We start from the raw sequence: 19513 nt of genomic DNA on the forward strand, positions 1-19513 counted from the left end.
AGAAATATCTTTCCAACTCTGTCTGGACCACCTGGTCTCAATGCTCCCTTCCTGCTTTGGTGTCATAAGATCTGGGTACATTAAAGTACTTTTCAGCTGTAATGCTCTAAGCCAGGTTTAGATCTATTTTTCTATCTCAGCATTGTCAGCTTTTTCTTCAAGTGATTTTCAATTAACATCTAGAAGTGTAAGGTAAGTTTCCCTGGGCTACAGGAAACACTGATCAGATAATCCAAACTTGGGACAGAAGACAGTGACAGACAGGGACAATTTTTAAATTTCAAATGGGGGTTTAGTGCTGCAATATTATCATCACCATTGATTGCTCTTTTGTTAATGCTATTTTTATGTCCATTGAGTTTGATGCTTTTCTATAAGAATAAAGAATCTTACATTGAATTTATATTTTGTTTTTCTCAACCCATTGATAGAAGAGAATAATTGATAACTAGTGAAATTCCTTCACTGTGATTTTTTGAAGAATCTTTCTGATCCTTAGGGGACATAGCAAGTAGCATTTTTTTTTTTTTTTTTTTTTTTTTTTTTTGAGATAGGGTCTCGCTCTGTTGCCTAAGCTGGAGTGCAGTGATATGATCGTGGTTCACTGCAGCCTCTACCTCCCGGGCTCAAAAGATTCTCTCATCTCAGCCTCCCTAGTAGCTGGGACCACAGATGCACACCACTATGCCTGGCTATTTTTAAAATGTTTTAGTAAAGACAGTGTCCCACTATGTTGTCCAGGCTAGTCTCAAACTCCTAGGCTCAAGGGATCCTTCAGCCTCGGTCTCCCAAAGTGCTGGGATTACAGGTGTGAGCCACCATGCCCAGCCAGTAGTCCTTATTTTAACCCTCCAGGCAATAATTGGCTATATTACCTGAATTTATTCATTTGTCTTTCTTTCATTTATTCAATTAACAAACACAAAGCGAGCATTGACTCTGCCAGGAACTGGGTTTGGGTTTATCTTTTAGGGTGACTTATCCTAAAAGTGATCCACCTTGGAGAGGTGCCCTCAGGTACTTCCCTTGATTATTTCTTCCCGCATCCTGGCACCTCTCTTGCTGTTTGCCTATCAGCTATGTGGAAAGGGGCTGAGCCTCTGGTTCCCTCTGGCCTGTGCTTTTCTCTGATGTCAGAGGGATGTAGAAGCCAACCCTTGCTATTCATGCTCCAAGTAGGTCGGGCTTGCACTCCCTCTCAATCCCGCTTCTGGTGGCCCCTCCTGGGAAAGTGAGGGTGGTTTCCATGGTGATAGTTCAGCGAAAGCCCTGGCCCTCTTCAGACACTTTCTGATTCATACAAATGAAAAGCCACTGACACTGGCCTTCACCGAGAGGAAAATGTCCAGCTCCAAAAAAAGGAGTGTCCATTCAAGGCCAATCTTGCACCTGCTGTGCTTTAGCTGTGGTGTCAGAGCTTCTGGAGAGCTGGGATGTGTGCTCACACAGGTCAGACTGACCACCTCCAAATCCAGATGCAAAGTCTATGCAAACTCCTGCACTTGGAGAGTGAAAAGAACAGTCAGGATTGTCCTGGCAGATGCGGACTACGAGGCTGCAAGGCTTTGCCCAGTGGAGTTGCAATGGCTCCTTCCCAGCATATTCATGGCTCCTTGCCTGGACCACTGGGATCCTCAGTTGGCCATATATGTTCCCCGCGTGGCTGGGAATTCACCACCTTGGAGCCTGACACTCTTGTCCAGGACTTGATGGAAGGCAGCCCAGGGCCTCTGACTGGCCTCTACTGGAATCCAGCCAAGCACCTGACCCTGTCTGGAGATAAAACCAGCAGTGGGTTTCACAGCCCAGCCCTCATGACCATCCTTGGCTGCTCAGTATCACCGCAGAGAGCCCACCCCACCACTGGCGACTCTGCTCTTACGTTAAAATGGAAAGTCCACTGATGAGCAAGCCCACGTCTTCCCACATTTTTTCCTTTTGTTGCCACTGCTTGAGCCCCTTGACATTTACAATAGCTGGAAGAGCTACTTTGGTGAAACTCCAAAAAATGTGAAATTCTTTTCTTGATGAAAGAGATCCAAAGCCTGTGCTAGGGCTGACAGCAAGGCAGAGGGAGCCTAGAGGAGGGTTGTTATGGGGCTGGAAGCAGGGATGAGGATGAGACCCAGCAAGCGGACACTAAGTGCCTGCACTCTGCTTTGCAGAGAAGAGAAGGGCCAGTAGCTGCCTTCCAATGGGCAAAGAGGACAACTCAGTGTGGGTGTGGGGTCTGTATCTGGTGCTGCTGAGTGCAGATGAAGGGGGAGCTTCCTTCCAGTTTTCCTTGACATATATAAATATGGGACAGACACTCCTACTCTGGAGATAGCTGAACAAAAATCAAGGCGCATTTAGAACTGACACGCTCATAATTGCACTGTATTAGTCTGTTTTCATGCTGCTGATAAAGACATACCCGCGGCTGGATAATTTGTAAAGAGAAAGAGGTTTAATGGACTCACAGTTCCACATGACTGGGGAGGCCTCACAATCATGGTAGAAGGTGAAAGGCACATCTTACAGGGCAGTGGACAAGAGGAAATGAGAACGAAGTGAAAGGCGATTCCCCTGATAAAACCATCAGATTTCCTGAGACGTATTCACCACCATGAGAACACTATGGAGAAAACCACCCCCATGATTCAATTATATCCCACTGGGTCCCTCTCACAACACATGGGAATTGTGAGAGCTACAATTCAAGATGAGATTTGGGTGAGGACACAGCCAAACCATAGCATGCACTGAAGCCAGAATCCCTCCCAGGGTTTCTTTGCTCAAGAGACACCTTCTTTGCTCAAGAGACACAGCCTCTCCTAGGCTCCCTTCTGCAGGGCCTGAGCTGTGAGCTTGCTTCCATTCCTTCCAGTACCTGCCCCAGAGTTTCTCATCTGAAACCTTGCTCTGCCATGAGCTTACCTGCACGTCACCTTCCCACCTCCTCACCCCCAACCCGGGTTAATTTGAAAGCTACTGTTTCATACTTCGCTCCCTTCTGGTCACAGAAAAAAGGAGGGCACTGGGGCTTGTTCTTGGAGCCAGTTCATTCTCATCTTGTTTTGTCCATTGTCTCTTCCCACCTGTTTCCCTCTGGATTTTCCATGCTATTGATGGAGATTGTTCCAGTTTCTGTGACAGCGCCAGTCCTCCTCACTCAAGCCCACCTCAGGACACTGCTGGGTCAAGCCTTGTTAGCTATGTGAACATTGAGACTCTTTCCTGTGCTTCTGCAGAGGTCAGGGAGAAGTGCCTCTGCAATACCCACCCCCGGTCTTTTTAGGCTCAACTAAACATTCACACTGGTGACCACATGTCACACTGGTCCTCAGACTCCTTTGGAAAATATAGAATAGGAAACACAGATGCCATCAGAGCAGCATCAGCCTCCTCTCTTCCATGGGAATGGTCCTGGCAGCCTTCCAGACAGCCATCTAGAAACTATTCTCTTTGGTTCTCTAGGTGACAGCTCAGGTGAGAGGAAATCAGACTGTAACTGGACAAGTGTGGAGACCACTGTGTCTTAGAAGCCTCATGCCCCACTGGAGCCAGTAGCAACTCCGTAGATGTAACTTTCAGGGTTCTTGCAAAATGTCCCATTATAAGAGTCACTGCACTCAGGGAAGCCTACAGTGTGACATCTCCACCACGTATAGATATAAACTATAGTTCCTCCCAGTTTAGATGACATTCACCAATCAGGGGTCACTTTGTTATAAACAATGTTGCTACGTAACAATTTATATAATACTATCTTTCTCAGGTTTCCAGGGGAACAGAGCTAGAAAATTAACAAAAGGTCTAATTCTCATGCAGAAAGGGAAAGAGCTTCATTAGCTATTCAAATGTTGCTTTCCAGAAGACAGAATGTCCTGGAATCTGAGTAGTCTAGGTAAATCATTGCATAACTTCAGAGCTTGGAATGTCCTGAGAAGCCATCTGGTCTACGCTTTATTTATTAAATGGGGAAACTGAACCCAGAAAAGGGAAGTGACTTATTCACAGATATGTGATGAATTCATGCAAAATATATGACTGGTCCCCATGGTTCCTGCCTCCTATGTCAGGAGGTCTCTCAGCTCTCTAAGGTCTTGCTTTTAGCTCTAACAGAGAGGAGGTAGGGGCCTTAAAGATGCATGGGAGCCCCCTTTTGGCCTGTAGCATTCTTGCTTGGTGAGGCTGGTAGATGGGAGCAGTGACATCTCTCTGTCCTTGGCAGTGGCTGCTGGGTGCCCTGACCAGAGCCCTGAGTTGCAACCCTGGAACCCTGGCCATGACCAAGACCACCATGTGCATATCGGCCAGGGCAAGACACTGCTGCTCACCTCTTCTGCCACGGTCTATTCCATCCACATCTCAGAGGGAGGTAAGCCAATCTCTCTCTGCTGCTCCCTCTTCCCTCCACTGCCCCAGAGCTTAGCAGATAGGATGCAGGTTGCCATGAGCTCAGATGGACAGAATAAACATCACATGCTTTGGGTTCATGTTGGCATTTGGTTGTCTGAGATAACCATCAGCTCTGAGCTGTTAGGAATGGCTTGTCGGAGGTCCAATCTTAGTGAAAGGAGCACTTATCGAGAAAACTCCTTATTGGTGTCTTGAGTAATTCTGTTTATCTTACTTTTAGAGGCCTGGTCATTGAATGCAGTACATGCAGTGATGGCATTTGACCAGACAGGCATTATTTACACATTGCAAAGCAGAGAGCATAGAAAAGTAATTACAGCCAGCCATCTATATCTGTGGGTTCTGCTCGTGAATTCAACCAATTCGAGGTTGAAAATATTCCAAATAATTTGCACCTGTACCGAACATGTACAGATTTTTCCTTGTCATTATTTCCTTAAAATACAGTTTGACAACTATTTATACAGTATTTACATTGAACTAGGTATTATAAGCAATCTAGAGATGATTTCAAGTATATGGGAGGATGTGCATAGGTTAGATGCAAATATGCAAATACTATGCCATTTAATCAGCGACTGGAGCATCCATGGAGTTTGGTATCTGGGAGGTGCTGGAACCAATTCCCTTCAGATACTGAGGGATGACTTTACTTGTAAGTACACCAAGCATAGGAATGTTTGGAAGATGTGCCTTTTTGCCTGCCCCGGTGAGATGGGGAGTGCTTAGGGAGTCTGCCCTTGGCTCTGATATAACCTTACCCTTAACACTGTGTTATTAAACCTCCCCCCAATGCTACCTCTTCAGGCAAGCTGGTCATTAAAGACCACGACGAGCCGATTGTTTTGCGAACCCGGCACATCCTGATTGACAACGGAGGAGAGCTGCATGCTGGGAGTGCCCTCTGCCCTTTCCAGGGCAATTTCACCATCATTTTGTATGGAAGGTGCGTAGACCACTCCTACAGATCAAATGCTACCCATGGATCTGACAAGAGGGAGACTTTCCAAGACAGAGAGAGAGGCAAGAGGGCAAGCTTGCCTGTAAGATAGGAATCATTCTGTCCTGCCAGATGGGGATCATGAACAAGACAGACATGGTGATTTGGGAGAGCTGAAGTCCATAAGGCTTGTTATTTATAGTGGCCTGGATGCTGTACTTGTTTTAGAGACGGGCCTGCCAGCCTTTCAGCCACCTTCCAATCATGTCATGTTCAGGGAGGCTCTGCAAGTGTTTATATAATAGGCTACGATGGACAAGATACAGGAAAATTCCATGTGGTACTTGCCCCTGGCTGTGTTCCCTCTTTAAACAATTGAGAGTGCTAAGAAGTGAGAGTCAGGAATGCACAAGGATATGCAGCGCATGTCCAGGTGATTCCACATCTGATATGGACAAAAATACAAAACACTTAGAACTGAATGGAAAACATGCCAACTTGTGAACTAATAATTGGCACGTCTGCTTGGCCCTGAGGGCTTTATTTTGGTCTGGCTTAGGAAGATTGGGTTGCTAATGTTTTTGTTGTTATTGTTGTTGTTGTTTTGAGATGGAATCTTGCTCTGTGGCCCAGGCTGGAGTGCAGTGGCATGAGCTCAGTTCACCACAACCTCTGCCTCCTGGTTTAAGCAATTCTGGTGCCTCAGCTTCCCAAATAGCTGAAACTACAGGCATGTTCCACCACGCCTGGCTGATTCTTGTATCTTTAGTAGAGATGGAGTTTCACCACGTTGGCCAGGCTGGTCTTGAACTCCTGACCTCAAGTGATCTGCCTGTCTCGGCCTCTCAAAGTGCTGGGATTACAGGCATGAGCCACAAGCCCAGCCGCTAGTGTTATTTTTACTGACCTCAGGTGATAAAAGTGTGACTGGCTCTATGGTGGCCGTGGTGGGGGGTCAGGGAGCTGAGCTGTGACTCCTAGGTTCCCTCTGGGTTCAGTATCCAGTAAAGAGATGTGTCAGCCAACTCTGGGGAGCTGTTTTCTCTTGCAGGGCTGATGAAGGTATTCAGCCGGATCCTTACTATGGTCTGAAGTACATTGGGGTTGGTAAAGGAGGCGCTCTTGAGTTGCATGGACAGAAAAAGCTCTCCTGGACATTTCTGAACAAGACCCTTCACCCAGGTGGCATGGCAGAAGGAGGCTATTTTTTTGAAAGGAGCTGGGGCCACCGTGGAGTTATTGTTCATGTCATCGACCCCAAATCAGGCACAGTCATCCATTCTGACCGGTAAGGTTTGCCTTCACTTAAACGTATACTCATTCATTCAAAGTACACTTATTGAGTGTGCTCCCTGGCCAGGTGCCGCTCTAGGTGCTGGGAGAACAGCAGTGAATGAAACAGATGGGAATCCCTGCCTTCAAGGAGTTCTGTCCTTCCCCAGGCATTGGCCTAATGATGCTGAATTGAAGAGGAGCAAGCATGCACACATATGTACATACAACGTAGTTTCAGATTGTGATAATTGGTAGTAAGGGGGAAAAAAGACAGAGTGAGATGCTAGAGTGTAACTAGGGAAGACCACTTTGGATAGGGTGGTCAGGGAAAGGCAGTGTAAGGATGCAACATTTGAGCTGAGAAATGAAGGGTGAGGATATGTCAGGGAAAGAGTGTTCAAGACAGACAGCAAGTGCAGAAGGCCGGAGGTATGAAAGGGCATGACATTCTCAAACGATGGAAAGGCCACCAGAGTTGTGGGAGCACAGCGAGTGGCGGAAGAGCAGCATGCAATCACATGGGAGTTACAAATGGGGGCGGGACAGGACCTCGGAGGCTGCGGTAAGGACGTGGGTTTTCTTCTAAGTGGGATGCAAAGTCACTGAAAGTCTTTAAGAAGAGCATGATCTGATTTAAAAGTACCTTCTGGCTGTAGAGAATGGTTTTAATTGTGAGGCAAAAGCAAAGATGGTGCAGGGGGTTAGGAAGCTTCTGCTGTGGTCTAGGCAAGACATGGCAGTGATGAGGACCCAGAAGGAACGGCGGCTAGTGGATGTACCTGAGAGATGTTTGGAAGGCAGCATGGGCAGGTGTAAGCTGGCAGATGCTGCCAAGGCTGGACCTGCCCTGCAGTCCCAGGAGCTCTCATCCTGGCCCTTTAGAGGGAAGGACAGAGGTGGGGTAGACAAACAGAGACAGAGCTACCCTGGGGCTGCTGGGGAAGGGAGACAGGCATTCCTCAAGAACAGGGCCCGAGCTGTGGGTGTCACCATGAAGGCAGCAGGAGCCAGCTACGGTCAGGGGCAGGGTGGGCAGGAGCTGAAGTGCTTGCTGGTGCTCACAGACACCCAACCTTGCCGGTAAACATTAGTACCTATAACAGTCACTGGACTTTCTCCCCGTAAAACACTGTTCATCACTTTACCTGTCAAATATACTTCAATCTTCATCAAAATTCTGTGAGGCAAGTTCTGTTATTATCTACCTTGTAGAGATGAAAGCACTGAGGCTCACAGGGCTAAATTTACTCAGTCACAAGGTTGGAAAGTGTTGGAGATGGGATTCAAACCCAGGTGTGCCTGTATCGCCTCCACGGATAACGGCTGACACCTTGATTGACACAAAGTATGTCAGGGAGCCCCTGCCTTCACACTAGAGAGGATGTCCTCTTCAATTGTGTGCTGATCTTTTTGGTGCTGTTTCTTAAGTACAACAGTGTTACTTGAAGAGATCCAACTTAAAGTTTATTTACTGACCTGTTAGTGAGAAGTGATCTGGACAGATGCTGTAGAGATGGCAAGGACAGAATGTCTGCTTGTTCCGAATATCTTTTGCTTAAAGTATATGTTGGAGATCTCAATAATCTGATAGATGAATGTGTATGAGTAAAGATAATAAGCGCATGCACACACATACACACACACACACACACACACACATACACACACACAAGTAAATGCAGGCAAAAGTCATCTGAGAAGGTTACTTAGAGAAGCAGGAACTTAGGTCAGCTTTTGAAAGGTAGTAGGTGCTTGATCAGGTACAGAAAAGGTGGGAAGGAATGATGAAGACAGGAGTGGGCGGGTGAGGTGGTCACTGGGCACTGAGAAGCACTAGGCTTGCAGCAGGAGCTTCCTGGGGAGGGTCAGTGGAGGGTGCGAGGTTAGGTGGGGCTGGACCAGATTGTGCCAACAGTTGGAAACAAGTGTGAGGACCCAGGAGCAGCTATCCAGCTACCACCGGTACCAACATTGTTTTTCTTTTCCAAAAACCTCCTTAGATTACTTTCCCAGATTCATTTTAGAACTATTTTCCTTAAGTTCCAAGACATACTCTTTAGGAATTTCTACTGTAATTGCATAAAATCTTTATCCTTACATGGGGAAGAGTTGGAATCATTACAAAATTGTGTCTTTGCTTTGTAAATTATTCTCACCAGGGGTATAGATTTTGTGTGTGTGATTTGTATTTCATGGATATTTTACGTGTATGAGGGCAGGTTATCAGTCAATTTGGAGATTATTAGTTCTTGCTATTATAAGAGATCTGCTGTCTAACATTGCAAAATACTGGATAGTACACTTAAAATTTTAAGAGGGTAGATCTCAAGGTAAGTGTTCTTACCACAATAAAGTAAAATAATTTTTAAAAAATAAACAGGAGAAAATAGCAATGCAACAACATTTACAATACTCAAATGTTATATGACTGCTACTGTGTGAATCAGAGATTACATTTTAATGATTCTAAGATGCATTATCATAAGAATCATTAACAGGTCAATAAATAAACTTTAAGTTGGATCTCTGCAAGTAACTCTGTGCAAGCTGCTCTAGGGGTGGGAGAAGGGATTTGGGATAGTCTCCATGTCATTTCCAAGAATTCTGGGATTGGTGTTTTACTCGGATCAGAGATATAAATTCCTAATGCCCTAGCTATCTGAACTATCTCCTAAAGTCAGGCTCTTCCAAGAGGCATGATCCTCTGCCTCCAGGATGAAAGGGGAACATCAAAAGGCCTAGACCTCAAGTATGTGACCCACTCAACATCCTGGAGCTTGAAGTCTTCACTGCTGCAATCATTTCTTTGGCATTTTACTCAGCGAATGAACATTATGGTCAAGTCAAAACCCTTCTTCTTGGATATCACTGTATGGTATGCAAAATAATGAAACTTGTTTGCTCTTTAAAGAAAAGGCTTCCTTCTTTAAGAATCACAGCCCTGGGATCATCGGATAGCATGTTAGCTGTCGCAGCACAGGCATGTGCTTAGAGCTCTTTGTTTTGGCTGCGGTCAAGACTATTCAGATCTCTTCTCTCTGCCCTTTTTAGGTTTGACACCTATAGATCCAAGAAAGAGAGTGAACGTCTGGTCCAGTATTTGAACGCGGTGCCCGATGGCAGGATCCTTTCTGTTGCAGTGAATGATGAAGGTTCTCGAAATCTGGATGACATGGCCAGGAAGGCGATGACCAAATTGGGAAGCAAACACTTCCTGCACCTTGGATTTAGGTACTGCCCCTCACTTCGGCTTCCACTGGGCTCTGGAACATTGAAGCCACTCTATCCCACTGAGAATTTACCTTTCCCATCTCCTCTCCCCACAGCCGTACCATCCTAAATGACCTAGTGGATGCAGGCATTTGCATTTGACATCTGAGTTTGGCATATTTGGGAATTGTTCTTAAAGAATGCTTGTTTTTTCTTACAAGCATAGTTCACTCAAAACAAACAAAAGCTCGCTGTTTATATGAACTCATTCATTCAGTCGGCCACTTACAAAATATTAAGTGAGCATCTACTGTGTGTAAGAGCCATGCCTCCAATGCACAGCTAATATTCATTTTCTCTTTCTTTGGTAAAGAGGTCATGTCATGGCTTGGGGTTTTTCAGAGATTATGTGAAGTGTCTCTGCTGAGGCAAATGACCAAGGAGAAGCAACCCTTTGACATGATCTAATATGTGTTTTGTTTGCCTTGGAGTGCAGCATCATGCCTGACATTGGCATGCACACACATTGACACTAAGAGGAAGCTGTTTGCCCCACAGTAAACAATGCCTTTTTTAAAAATTTAATTTAATTTAAAGTTCCAGGATACATATGCAGGACGTGCTTGTTTGTTACCTAGGTAAACGTGTGCCGCGATGGTTTGCTGCACCTATCAACCTATCACCCCGGTATTAAGCCCAGCATCCACTAGCTATTTGTCCTGATCCTCTCCCTCCCTCTGCCCCTCGCCCCTGCCAAGCCCCAGTGTGTGTTGTTCCCCTCCCTGTGTCCATGGTAAGCACACCTTTTTATCATGTTGAATCAAATCTCAGCTCAGTGGAAAGTTGAGGTTATCTGTCCCATGGCTGTTTAGAGATTACGATGCTCCTCCCTTCAGCTTCCCACATCTGGGAGCAAGATCAGAGGGAAGCCAGAGACTTTTCTGGGCTTGGAGCAAAGCAATTTTGCTGGCTGGGCAGAAATTCCCTGGGCAAGGGAGGGGTGCTCCAGGTTCCAGAGTGCATTTTCCGACAGCCCAGAGACTACTTCTTCTGGACGGGAAACTCAAGCAGGAAACTTAAGCAGCCAAAGATGACAATGACACCTTGGCATTGCAAGCCTCCTTTGTTAGCAAACACTAAGTGCACTTCCATTCTGTTGTTTTATAAACCAAAAGGCCAGTTTATTAATTTACAGTGAGAGTTAGAAACACCAGGAAACTGACTATTTACGGCCTCAGCAGAAGAAGAAAGTGGCTAAGGGCCCAAGATCTGGCATCCAGTGGCCTGAGTTTGAGTCTGGGTTGCACCTTCCAGGAGGTGTGACTGCAGGCAAGTGACTCATTCTCTTTGCCTGGTCCTGCATCTGTAAAATGGGATATACGAGGAGCTATCTCAAAGGACTATAGGACAATTAAATGTGATAATATGAACAAAATATTTGTCATCATGTCTGGCACAGAATAAGCACTCCATAAATGTTAGCAACTATTTTCTCCTTATAAGCAAGAGCCACTGGAAAGGTGGGCACTCGCCGTCTTTTGCCAGGGCTGTTCACATGGGCAAAGGAGATACATAGGTGGGAATTACACGTCCACACCTCATTTGTATAGAGACATTCTTTGAGTGATAAACTTGAAGCATCTAAAATCAGTAGGAGAACTGAGACTTGGACCCTTCATTTGTTCACCCATTCAGGAAATGAACACATACTGGTGGGAGGTACTCGGTTAGACCAGGTGTCCTGAACTCTTGGGGGAAGGCAGGTATGAATGGAAATTGGTGACGGGGCATGAGAGAGCAAGAGAGTGGGCAAGTGTAGTTTAGTGCAGACGAACACATGAGGATGAGGCCAAGCTGGTTCCCATAGAGAGATCAGCAGCTTCGGAGGCCCAGGGGCAAAAGCATGCCTCTCCCAAAGAAGGTGGGGATGGCGAGGCAGTGGCAGTATATGAGAGAGGCAAGGGGTGAGAGGTGAGGCTGGAGGGGGGCGGGGGCAAAGGACCTTCGAATCTGTGCCAAGGAGCTTGGATTTTATCCAAAGGGCAATGGGGAGCTACTGAAGGATTTAAGCAGGAAAGTGGACAGTTAAATCCCCAACCTCAGTTAAACACCGTTCAATAGTGATTCATTTTCCAAGACAAGAGATCAAAACAAGAATAATGAGAGCTATTCAGCACCAAAATCGATTGATAGCTTATAGTAAGAGAGGGCTACTGTAGGGGGGGAAAATCTCTTTCCTTCTACTCTTCTAAGTTCTTGACTGGAGCACCTGCAACAAATCACTGATTAACAGGAGAAAAGCACACAAATGTATTTCAGATAGTAAGTTTTAAACGACATGGGAGCCTTCATAAGGAAACGAGGACCCAAATACACAGTTAAACCTGAGTGTCTGTACACGAGGTTTGATGAAGTGGAGAGCTGTGGGAAAATGTGGTAGGACAAGGGGCTTGAGTTAAACACAGTAAACAGGGGAAATTTAGCAAGGTCTCTGTTCCTTCAGATTCCTCTTGGCTTCCTTCTGTGTTTGGGGATAAGGATGCTCTTTTTCTCAGAATAAGGAAGGCCCTCTCACATAAGGGTCTTAGACCTGCTTCAGGGGAAAGTCAGAAACTCCTTCCTGCCATTTCACAAATTCCTTGAGCTTGAAATATTCAATATGCCAAGTTGCCATTTTGGGGGGTAGCGTCTCCTGAACTTCATTACTGCATTAGGCATTACGCAAAATGCCTAAAACAAAATGGGGTAAGAAAACCTTGCTGCCCTAAAGCAGCACGTGCTTTCATGGAGGAATGATGGATGTACAATTTTTCAAAACCTTAAGCCTTTTTTTGCTTCCCTCCCCATTAAGAAGAAGAGAGATTTCTCTCCTTTCCACGGCCCAAGGCAGATGGCTAGGGCAGTCAGTCATGTTAGCCTCTGGTATTTTCCTCGAGCTCAACTCTAGGGGAGCTGAGCATGAGAGAAATAACCTTTCTCTCTTGGAACATGTTTTCCTGAAGGTATCCAAGCATTTGCTTCAGGACATAATTGAGCCTGGCGGGTGGTATAGTAGGTCTGTTGGCTTGTTTGTTTATTTGTGATTCATGCTCCCATCTTCTGCCAGAATGGAGCTGAAGAGGCTCACAGGGAGCAAACATCAGGCAGGCCAGGGAGCGAGAAAGCCCAGAGGAGTGCTTGCAAAGAAAGGTGCTTCTTCTGGAGAAGAGAAGCCCAGCAAGTGAATGAATTTCCCCCAAACAGCAGGGAGGGACCCTCCTTCACCTGACGCTGCTTCAACTCTGCCCCATCCCCCCACACTCTGTGCAGGTACAGACTCGTGCAGAACTTTACTTTTTGTTATGTTTTTCTTTTTTTCAGACACCCTTGGAGTTTTCTAACTGTGAAAGGAAATCCATCATCTTCAGTGGAAGACCATATTGAATATCATGGTAATACATAGCTGGCTGGAGGCCTGATTCCCTCCAGTGTCTCTCTGATCAAGAGGTGCAGGGCTTTTCTGAACATCTCACTTTTCTCAGAGCATGGCTTCCCAGCTCCCAATGTCTAGATGAGTGAGCAGCCGCTTAACTGGCCACCTTACATGGAAGTGGCAAAGGCCAATGCTGGCCAAAGGCCCATCACTTGCAGTAATATTTCCCTTTTCATGGAAATCTTCACTGACTTAATCAAAAACCTAGAATTGGCATAGAAAAGATAAGAACTGAGATAGAGCCAGCAGGGGTGGTATTTTAAGAGCTAAAACGAGGCTGGGTGTGGTGGCTCACGCTTGTAATCCCAGCATTTTGGGAGGCCGAGGCGGGTGGATCACTTGAGGTCAGGAGTTCGAAACCACCCTGGCCAATATGGTAAAACCGTGTCTCTACTAAAATTACAAAAAAAAAAAGAATTAGCCAGGCATGGTGGTGGGCACCTGTAGTCCCAGCTACTTGGGAGGAGATTGCACCACTGCACTCCAGCCTGAGCAACAGAGACCCCGTCTCAAAAAAATTTAAAAAAAAAGAGCTAAAGCGACACTTTAGATGGGCCTTCAGGACACAGTAGTAGCCTCCTTTGCCCAGCAAAGGCTGCGGGAAGCGCTGCAGTTCTAATGCCAAGGAGGAATTCAGACCGTGAGACATGCTAGAGCTCTGCAATCTGAATTTGTTGGGAGGCTGGAACTAAACTTTCAAAACTGAAACAAAAGAATGGATGATCATCTCTTCCCAAGTGAATGAATGTCCTAATTTTCTTTTATTTACTTAAAAAATATTTTTAAAGAAATGAGTCAATGCCCATGTGCGTAGGGGGGTTTCCTTGCCTTGGAGTCACAACTTTTTGAATTTGGGGGTCTGTCCAGCTCCTAAAGGGTCTCGTTTCTCTGACAGGACATCGAGGCTCTGCTGCTGCCCGGGTATTCAAATTGTTCCAGACAGAGCATGGCGAATATTTCAATGTTTCTTTGTCCAGTGAGTGGGTTCAAGGTGAGGAGTTTCAGACAATTTGGTGACACCTAACAGTGGGATAGAAGACCAGAAATCACTGTCTTTGCAGAACTAGGATTTATCTCTTATACCAGTAGGACCACTTTAATTTTTGCAGAATCAACTAAAAATGTGCAACCAAAAGTTGTCTTTAATTAGACAAGCCACTTTAGCCCATAGCCCAGAAGGATGTTCTCCTCTGGCTAAGATTTCAATTTCACCTCAGTCAGGGTCTGCGGCATTCAGCTTAGTTCACGGAATATCTTTGATGTGGCAGGCAATGGCACTGAACAGGAAATGCAGATAGGAATAGAACCTGCCCTCCAAATAGCCCACATGCAGGGATTGCAGAAAGCAGCAATCCTAGTTGCAGTCCTTGGATAACGGGTTTACAGATGGATTTTCTTTCTTTTCTCTTTAATTTGCTTTTGCAATAACAAAGAATATAAATTGCTTTTATAAAAGTAAGAAACTCATTAAGAGAAACTCATTTTTTAATTAAAACATGGGAGCATAGGCAGATTGATTAGAGCCATCCATGCCCCAGCCTGGTGCAACCATGGACAGATAATATTCAGTTCCCATGGTGCTGAGGATGCTTGGAGACAACACTGAGTGTGACTTGCCCTCACAGACAACCTCCTGTCTGACTGTGCTGTTTGCTTTCTGCCTAGACGTGGAGTGGACGGAGTGGTTCGATCATGATAAAGTATCTCAGACTAAAGGTGGGGAGAAAATTTCAGACCTCTGGAAAGCTCACCCAGGAAAAATATGCAATCGTCCCATTGATATACAGGTACCAAACTCACAGCAAAAATAGAAAATAGAAATGTGTTGTTTTGAAGAAGACTCTATAGATCACAGACATTCTTGTCACTTGGGTGCTGTGATTCTCGTTGCCCTCCTGTGAGGTAGGTCAGCCAAAGAGTACCATTCCCACTTTAGAGACTGAAGCAGAGGCTTACTATCTGCCCAAAAGCCAGGGCTCAGATTCTCTCCTGGGTCCAGCTTCTGAGTTCCTTCTCTTTAACTTGCTTCTTCAGCCATGACTGAGTGTGCCCCCACCACAGGGATGGGTTTGGACTCCCCAGCCTCACTTCCCCGTCAATTTCCTTAGGGACCTTGAGTGCACAGGATGCAGCTAGGATTTGGGGTGCAGGCCAGGCCAGCCCAGATGGAGAACACACGCATGGCCTTGTTCTCAATTGAGCTAAATCAAAGCCAGCATTCATAGAATGGACAGTGTTTGCTCAAAATCTTCACTTAGAGTTAATTCCATCTGAAGGGGACCTTGATGTTCTCAGTTGGCTCCATCAAGAAAGTGTTGAGTAAATATACAGGCCTCACCAGCTGAGCCAGTGGGATACTAGGCTTTGGGAACAACAGGAGAGACAGGAGAAATAGGCAAAGTAAATGAGATTTATCTCCTTATGCCCAGTCTCATTCCAAGACAAGATTTGAGGCTGCTTAAATGCTTGATAGAGAATTAGAAGTCATTTGAGCTGGGCTCAGTGGATCATGCCTGTAATCCCAGCACTTTGGGAGGCCAAGGTGGGCAGATCACTTGAGGTCAGGAGTTAGAGACCAGCCTGGCCAGTATGGTGAAACCCCCTCTCGACTAAAAATACAAAAAAAAAAAAAAAATTAGCTTGGTGTGGTGGCGGGTGCCTGTAGTCCCAGCTACTCAGGGTCTGAGGCAGGAGAATTGCGTAAACAGGAGGTGGAGGTTGTGGTGAGCTGAGATCGCACCACTGTACTCCAGCCTGGGTGACCGAGCAAGACTCTGACTCAAAAAAAAAAACAAAAAAAAACCAGGCATTTGAGAAAGGCCATCTCCACCCATTTTATCCTCCTTCAGCCAATAAAAATAGCTACCCCATTTGTACAACACTTTTTCCTAGAATATCAAAGCTCGGGTCCCAGGTCAGCTCGAGTCCCAGGCCATCTGTCTGTGCTTTCACCCCGCCACACCATCCTGGGCAGAACTTCTACCCTCTGTCTTGCCTTGTAAGAAGGACCACTTATCCAAGGGAGGAGCCTCTGTTCTGCACTTAGCAAAGTCTGAGGAAAACTTTCTCATTATTTGGCTGAGACTCTTCCCTTCACATGGCTTCAGTGTTATTGAGAAGGATTTACCCAGATTAAGTTTCAAGTTGCAGATTCTCCTTGGGTCCAACAGAATCAAAAAGCACTGATCCCCCACAGCACATTCTTTCCAGATTTAATTTTAATTTTCTCTCATAACCTTGAATGTTCCAGCTTTAATTCTGAAATAGCCATAATCTTATCCCTCCAGTTCACTTGACCACAGGAAGTCTAGCTCTTTACCAACCTCCCCTCTCCAAATACTTCTGGAAATGCTCAAGGAATGCTTACATGGTCTACAAATCTTTCCTGGTGTTTGCTCTGCCAGTTTTCTGGCTCCAGACACTGTTGATTGGAAGACCACCTCTCAGTGCCAGGAAAACAGCATTCCTTAGACATTCCCCACTCTTGCATTTACTTTGCTCCCAGCACAGACACAGGCCCTTCCTAGAGTGTCCCAAAACACAATTAAACCCAGGCTGAGAGCTCCATAAGCCAAGACCTTCATAGGGACCCAACCCTACACTCTATAACTGTTAGTCTGTTGCCATATTGCAAGACCTAGTTTTCTTCTAACAAAAAGAGTTCCCTTGGCAATACATTCCCCAAATTCAAGTTCTCCATTATTTGAGGTTCAGAGAACAGAAGATTCAACAGCAGTGTGGTCCCCTTACTCAGAAGCTTAGGGAAGTCTTCCCACAATGAAAGCATTCAGAACTCCCAATTCCATAATAAGACCTTTGGCTTTTTCTTGGCAAAACCAAGGTCTATTGAGATGGTCATCTAAAAGATAAGAGTCATGTGCCTCCAAGGGTGAATTCAAACCTCCATCTCTACCGAAGAGAAGGTGTTGCCACGCTGGAGAGATCAGGCTTACTCCTAATTCTCGCCACCAATCTTTAATCAATGGTCATCTCCAGACTTAGCTAGAGCATCTCTTCATGCTCATCAAAGGTAAAAATGGTGATGTAGAATATGCTCCTGGATGTTTCCAAGGCCAGAAAAACAAAGCCAGTCTTTCCTATGCTCACAAGAGGTGAGAGAAGCAGGATTTCCCCATTTTTAGCAGGTGACAAATGCATCAGCCAAAAGTTAAATGTCCTAGTTAATTAACCCAGGGAGAGACTAAAATGAAACACAACTCCCCACATGCTCATTTTTGCCACTATTGCAAAAATGCAGTTTTTCTCTGGTCACCTGGTGCCTCTCACCTCCCCGGGCCCTGAGCTTTTACGTGCTCCTCTTCCTGCTTGTGCCTGCCCCCAGTGCCCAACTCCGTGTCATACACAGTGGGTCCCGGCATACCTGCCATGCACTGACATAGCCAGATCCTCTGGGCCAGGGAGTGTCAAGGACATTTGCAACCTAGGCAAGATTGGAGGAGGCAGGTTGGGAAGAAAGAGGAAGCAGCAAGACTGCACAGTTGACCTTAAGAAAAGCTTTTCCAAGATCTGATATTTTGTGATTCTGAAAAAAATTATAATAACAAAAACACACTGTTTCTATGTCTTGCCCTTCGTTCAGCTCTCCTTGGCTGAAAAATCCTCTTGCCTCCCACCTTCTCTCTTAAAACCCAGCCACCCTTCAAGGCCAGTGGGATCTACTGGACTGAGATTTCCTTGGGGACATCAGGCAGTCTGTGTGTTCCCCACAGCAGCTGGTGCAGTGGCTAGAGGTCGGCCTGATGGTAACAAAAACATATTCTGAAGCCAGAGAGATCACAGCTCTACCACTTGTGAGCTTTGGCATATCAGCAAGTGAGGTGCCCACGGTGCAAAATTTAAGGCAGCCCGCTCCCTCCAGCGCCAACTCTGCACTTGCATGACCCTAAGAGTGGGTGCTGCCTTAAATTTTGTGCCCTGGGTACCTCACTCACAGTCTTGTTACTTAGTGTCTCGTTTCCTCACAGCAAAAATAGGGATAATAATTATTTCCTCATGGGCATGTTTTGTGGATTCAGTGCAATGAAGTGTGCAGACTGAAAAGTGGCCCATACATTTTTTATTATTTAAAATTAATTTATTGGCTGGACTGGTGGCCCACGCCGGTAATCCCAGCACTTTGGGAGGCCAAAGTGGGTGGATCAATTGAAGTTAGGAGTTCGAGACCAGCCTGGCCAAGCTGATGAAACCCTATCTCTACTAAAAATACAAAAATTAGCTGGGTGTGGTGGCGGGCACCTGTAATCCCAGCTACTCGGGAGGCTGAGGCAGAAGAATCGCTTGAACAGGTGGAGGTTGCAGTGAGCTGAGGTGGCGCCATTGTACTCCAGCCTGGGCAAGAGAGTGAGGCTCTGTCTCAAAATAAATAAATAAATGAAATGAAATGAAATGAAATAAAATAAAATAAATTTACTATTAGTTATTATATTGATAATTATTTTGTTAATACTTATTATTACCAAGAATAATAATAAACTCAAGTCTACTTAAAGATCTCTTTCTCTGAATGATGATGGATTCCTTTTACTCTTCTTATCCAAAACTGAGGTCATTTTTCAGGTTAGAAAAAAGGAAAAAAAGAAAAAACAGCAGAATTGAGTAGATGTTCTCCTGGAATTATTGTTGGATGTTATACCTGGAAAAAATCTCCAGCCCCCTTCGATAATGTTTTCAGGCTCAGTTCTCAATCTTACGGGGTCTCCAATTGAAGAACATGCTACCCTCAGGGGAAAACTTCAGGAGGCCCGAGGAGCTGGGCTTACCTTAACTGACCTTGAGCTTACATCTGAACCCCTCTGAGCATCAGCGTTGACCTCCGTCTAAAAGCAAGTTTGCAACCCCTGCCTCTCTGGCTGCTGCAGAGACCACCTGAGATAGGGGGTGTGAGTGTGTTTTTGCAGGAAATGACTGAGTTTTAATTGTGGCTGAACTCACATCCACATGGCTCTTCTTCCAAGCCAAAGATAACGGAGCTGCTGGGTTTAAAACAATGTTTCCTAAAAAGTCTCCTCTTTTTTTTTTTTTTTGACTGGCTATACTTTCCTTCCTTATTACCCCAGTCTGGTCCCTTTGGTCTCTATGCCAAAGATGACAGCAGCTGCAGCCCTTGCTCTAAATTGCATGTCTTTGAATGATAGTCATGGTCAGGATGCAGACACACCCTGGCTCTGGGATGGGCCCCAGCTGGCAGGGAT

At 45.6% G+C, this 19513-nt stretch overlaps 1 protein-coding gene across 10 annotated transcripts in view; it reads left to right on the forward strand.

Annotated features, from left to right (window-relative positions):
* The window catches only part of CEMIP (cell migration inducing hyaluronidase 1), a 172402-nt gene that overhangs the window by 95135 nt on the left and 57754 nt on the right, over positions 1–19513 (forward strand). For all 10 annotated transcript variants that reach the window (XM_047432894.1, XM_047432897.1, XM_047432893.1 and 7 more), the window contains 7 exons: positions 4217–4363; positions 5212–5350; positions 6396–6632; positions 9671–9850; positions 13190–13260; positions 14197–14292; positions 14967–15088. In XM_047432894.1, the coding sequence (XP_047288850.1) occupies positions 4217–4363; positions 5212–5350; positions 6396–6632; positions 9671–9850; positions 13190–13260; positions 14197–14292; positions 14967–15088 (992 nt within the window). The remainder of the gene's footprint in view (positions 1–4216; positions 4364–5211; positions 5351–6395; positions 6633–9670; positions 9851–13189; positions 13261–14196; positions 14293–14966; positions 15089–19513) is intronic.

The sequence above is a fragment of the Homo sapiens genome, chromosome 15, assembly GCF_000001405.40.
Source record: "Homo sapiens chromosome 15, GRCh38.p14 Primary Assembly".
NCBI lineage: Eukaryota > Metazoa > Chordata > Mammalia > Primates > Hominidae > Homo > Homo sapiens.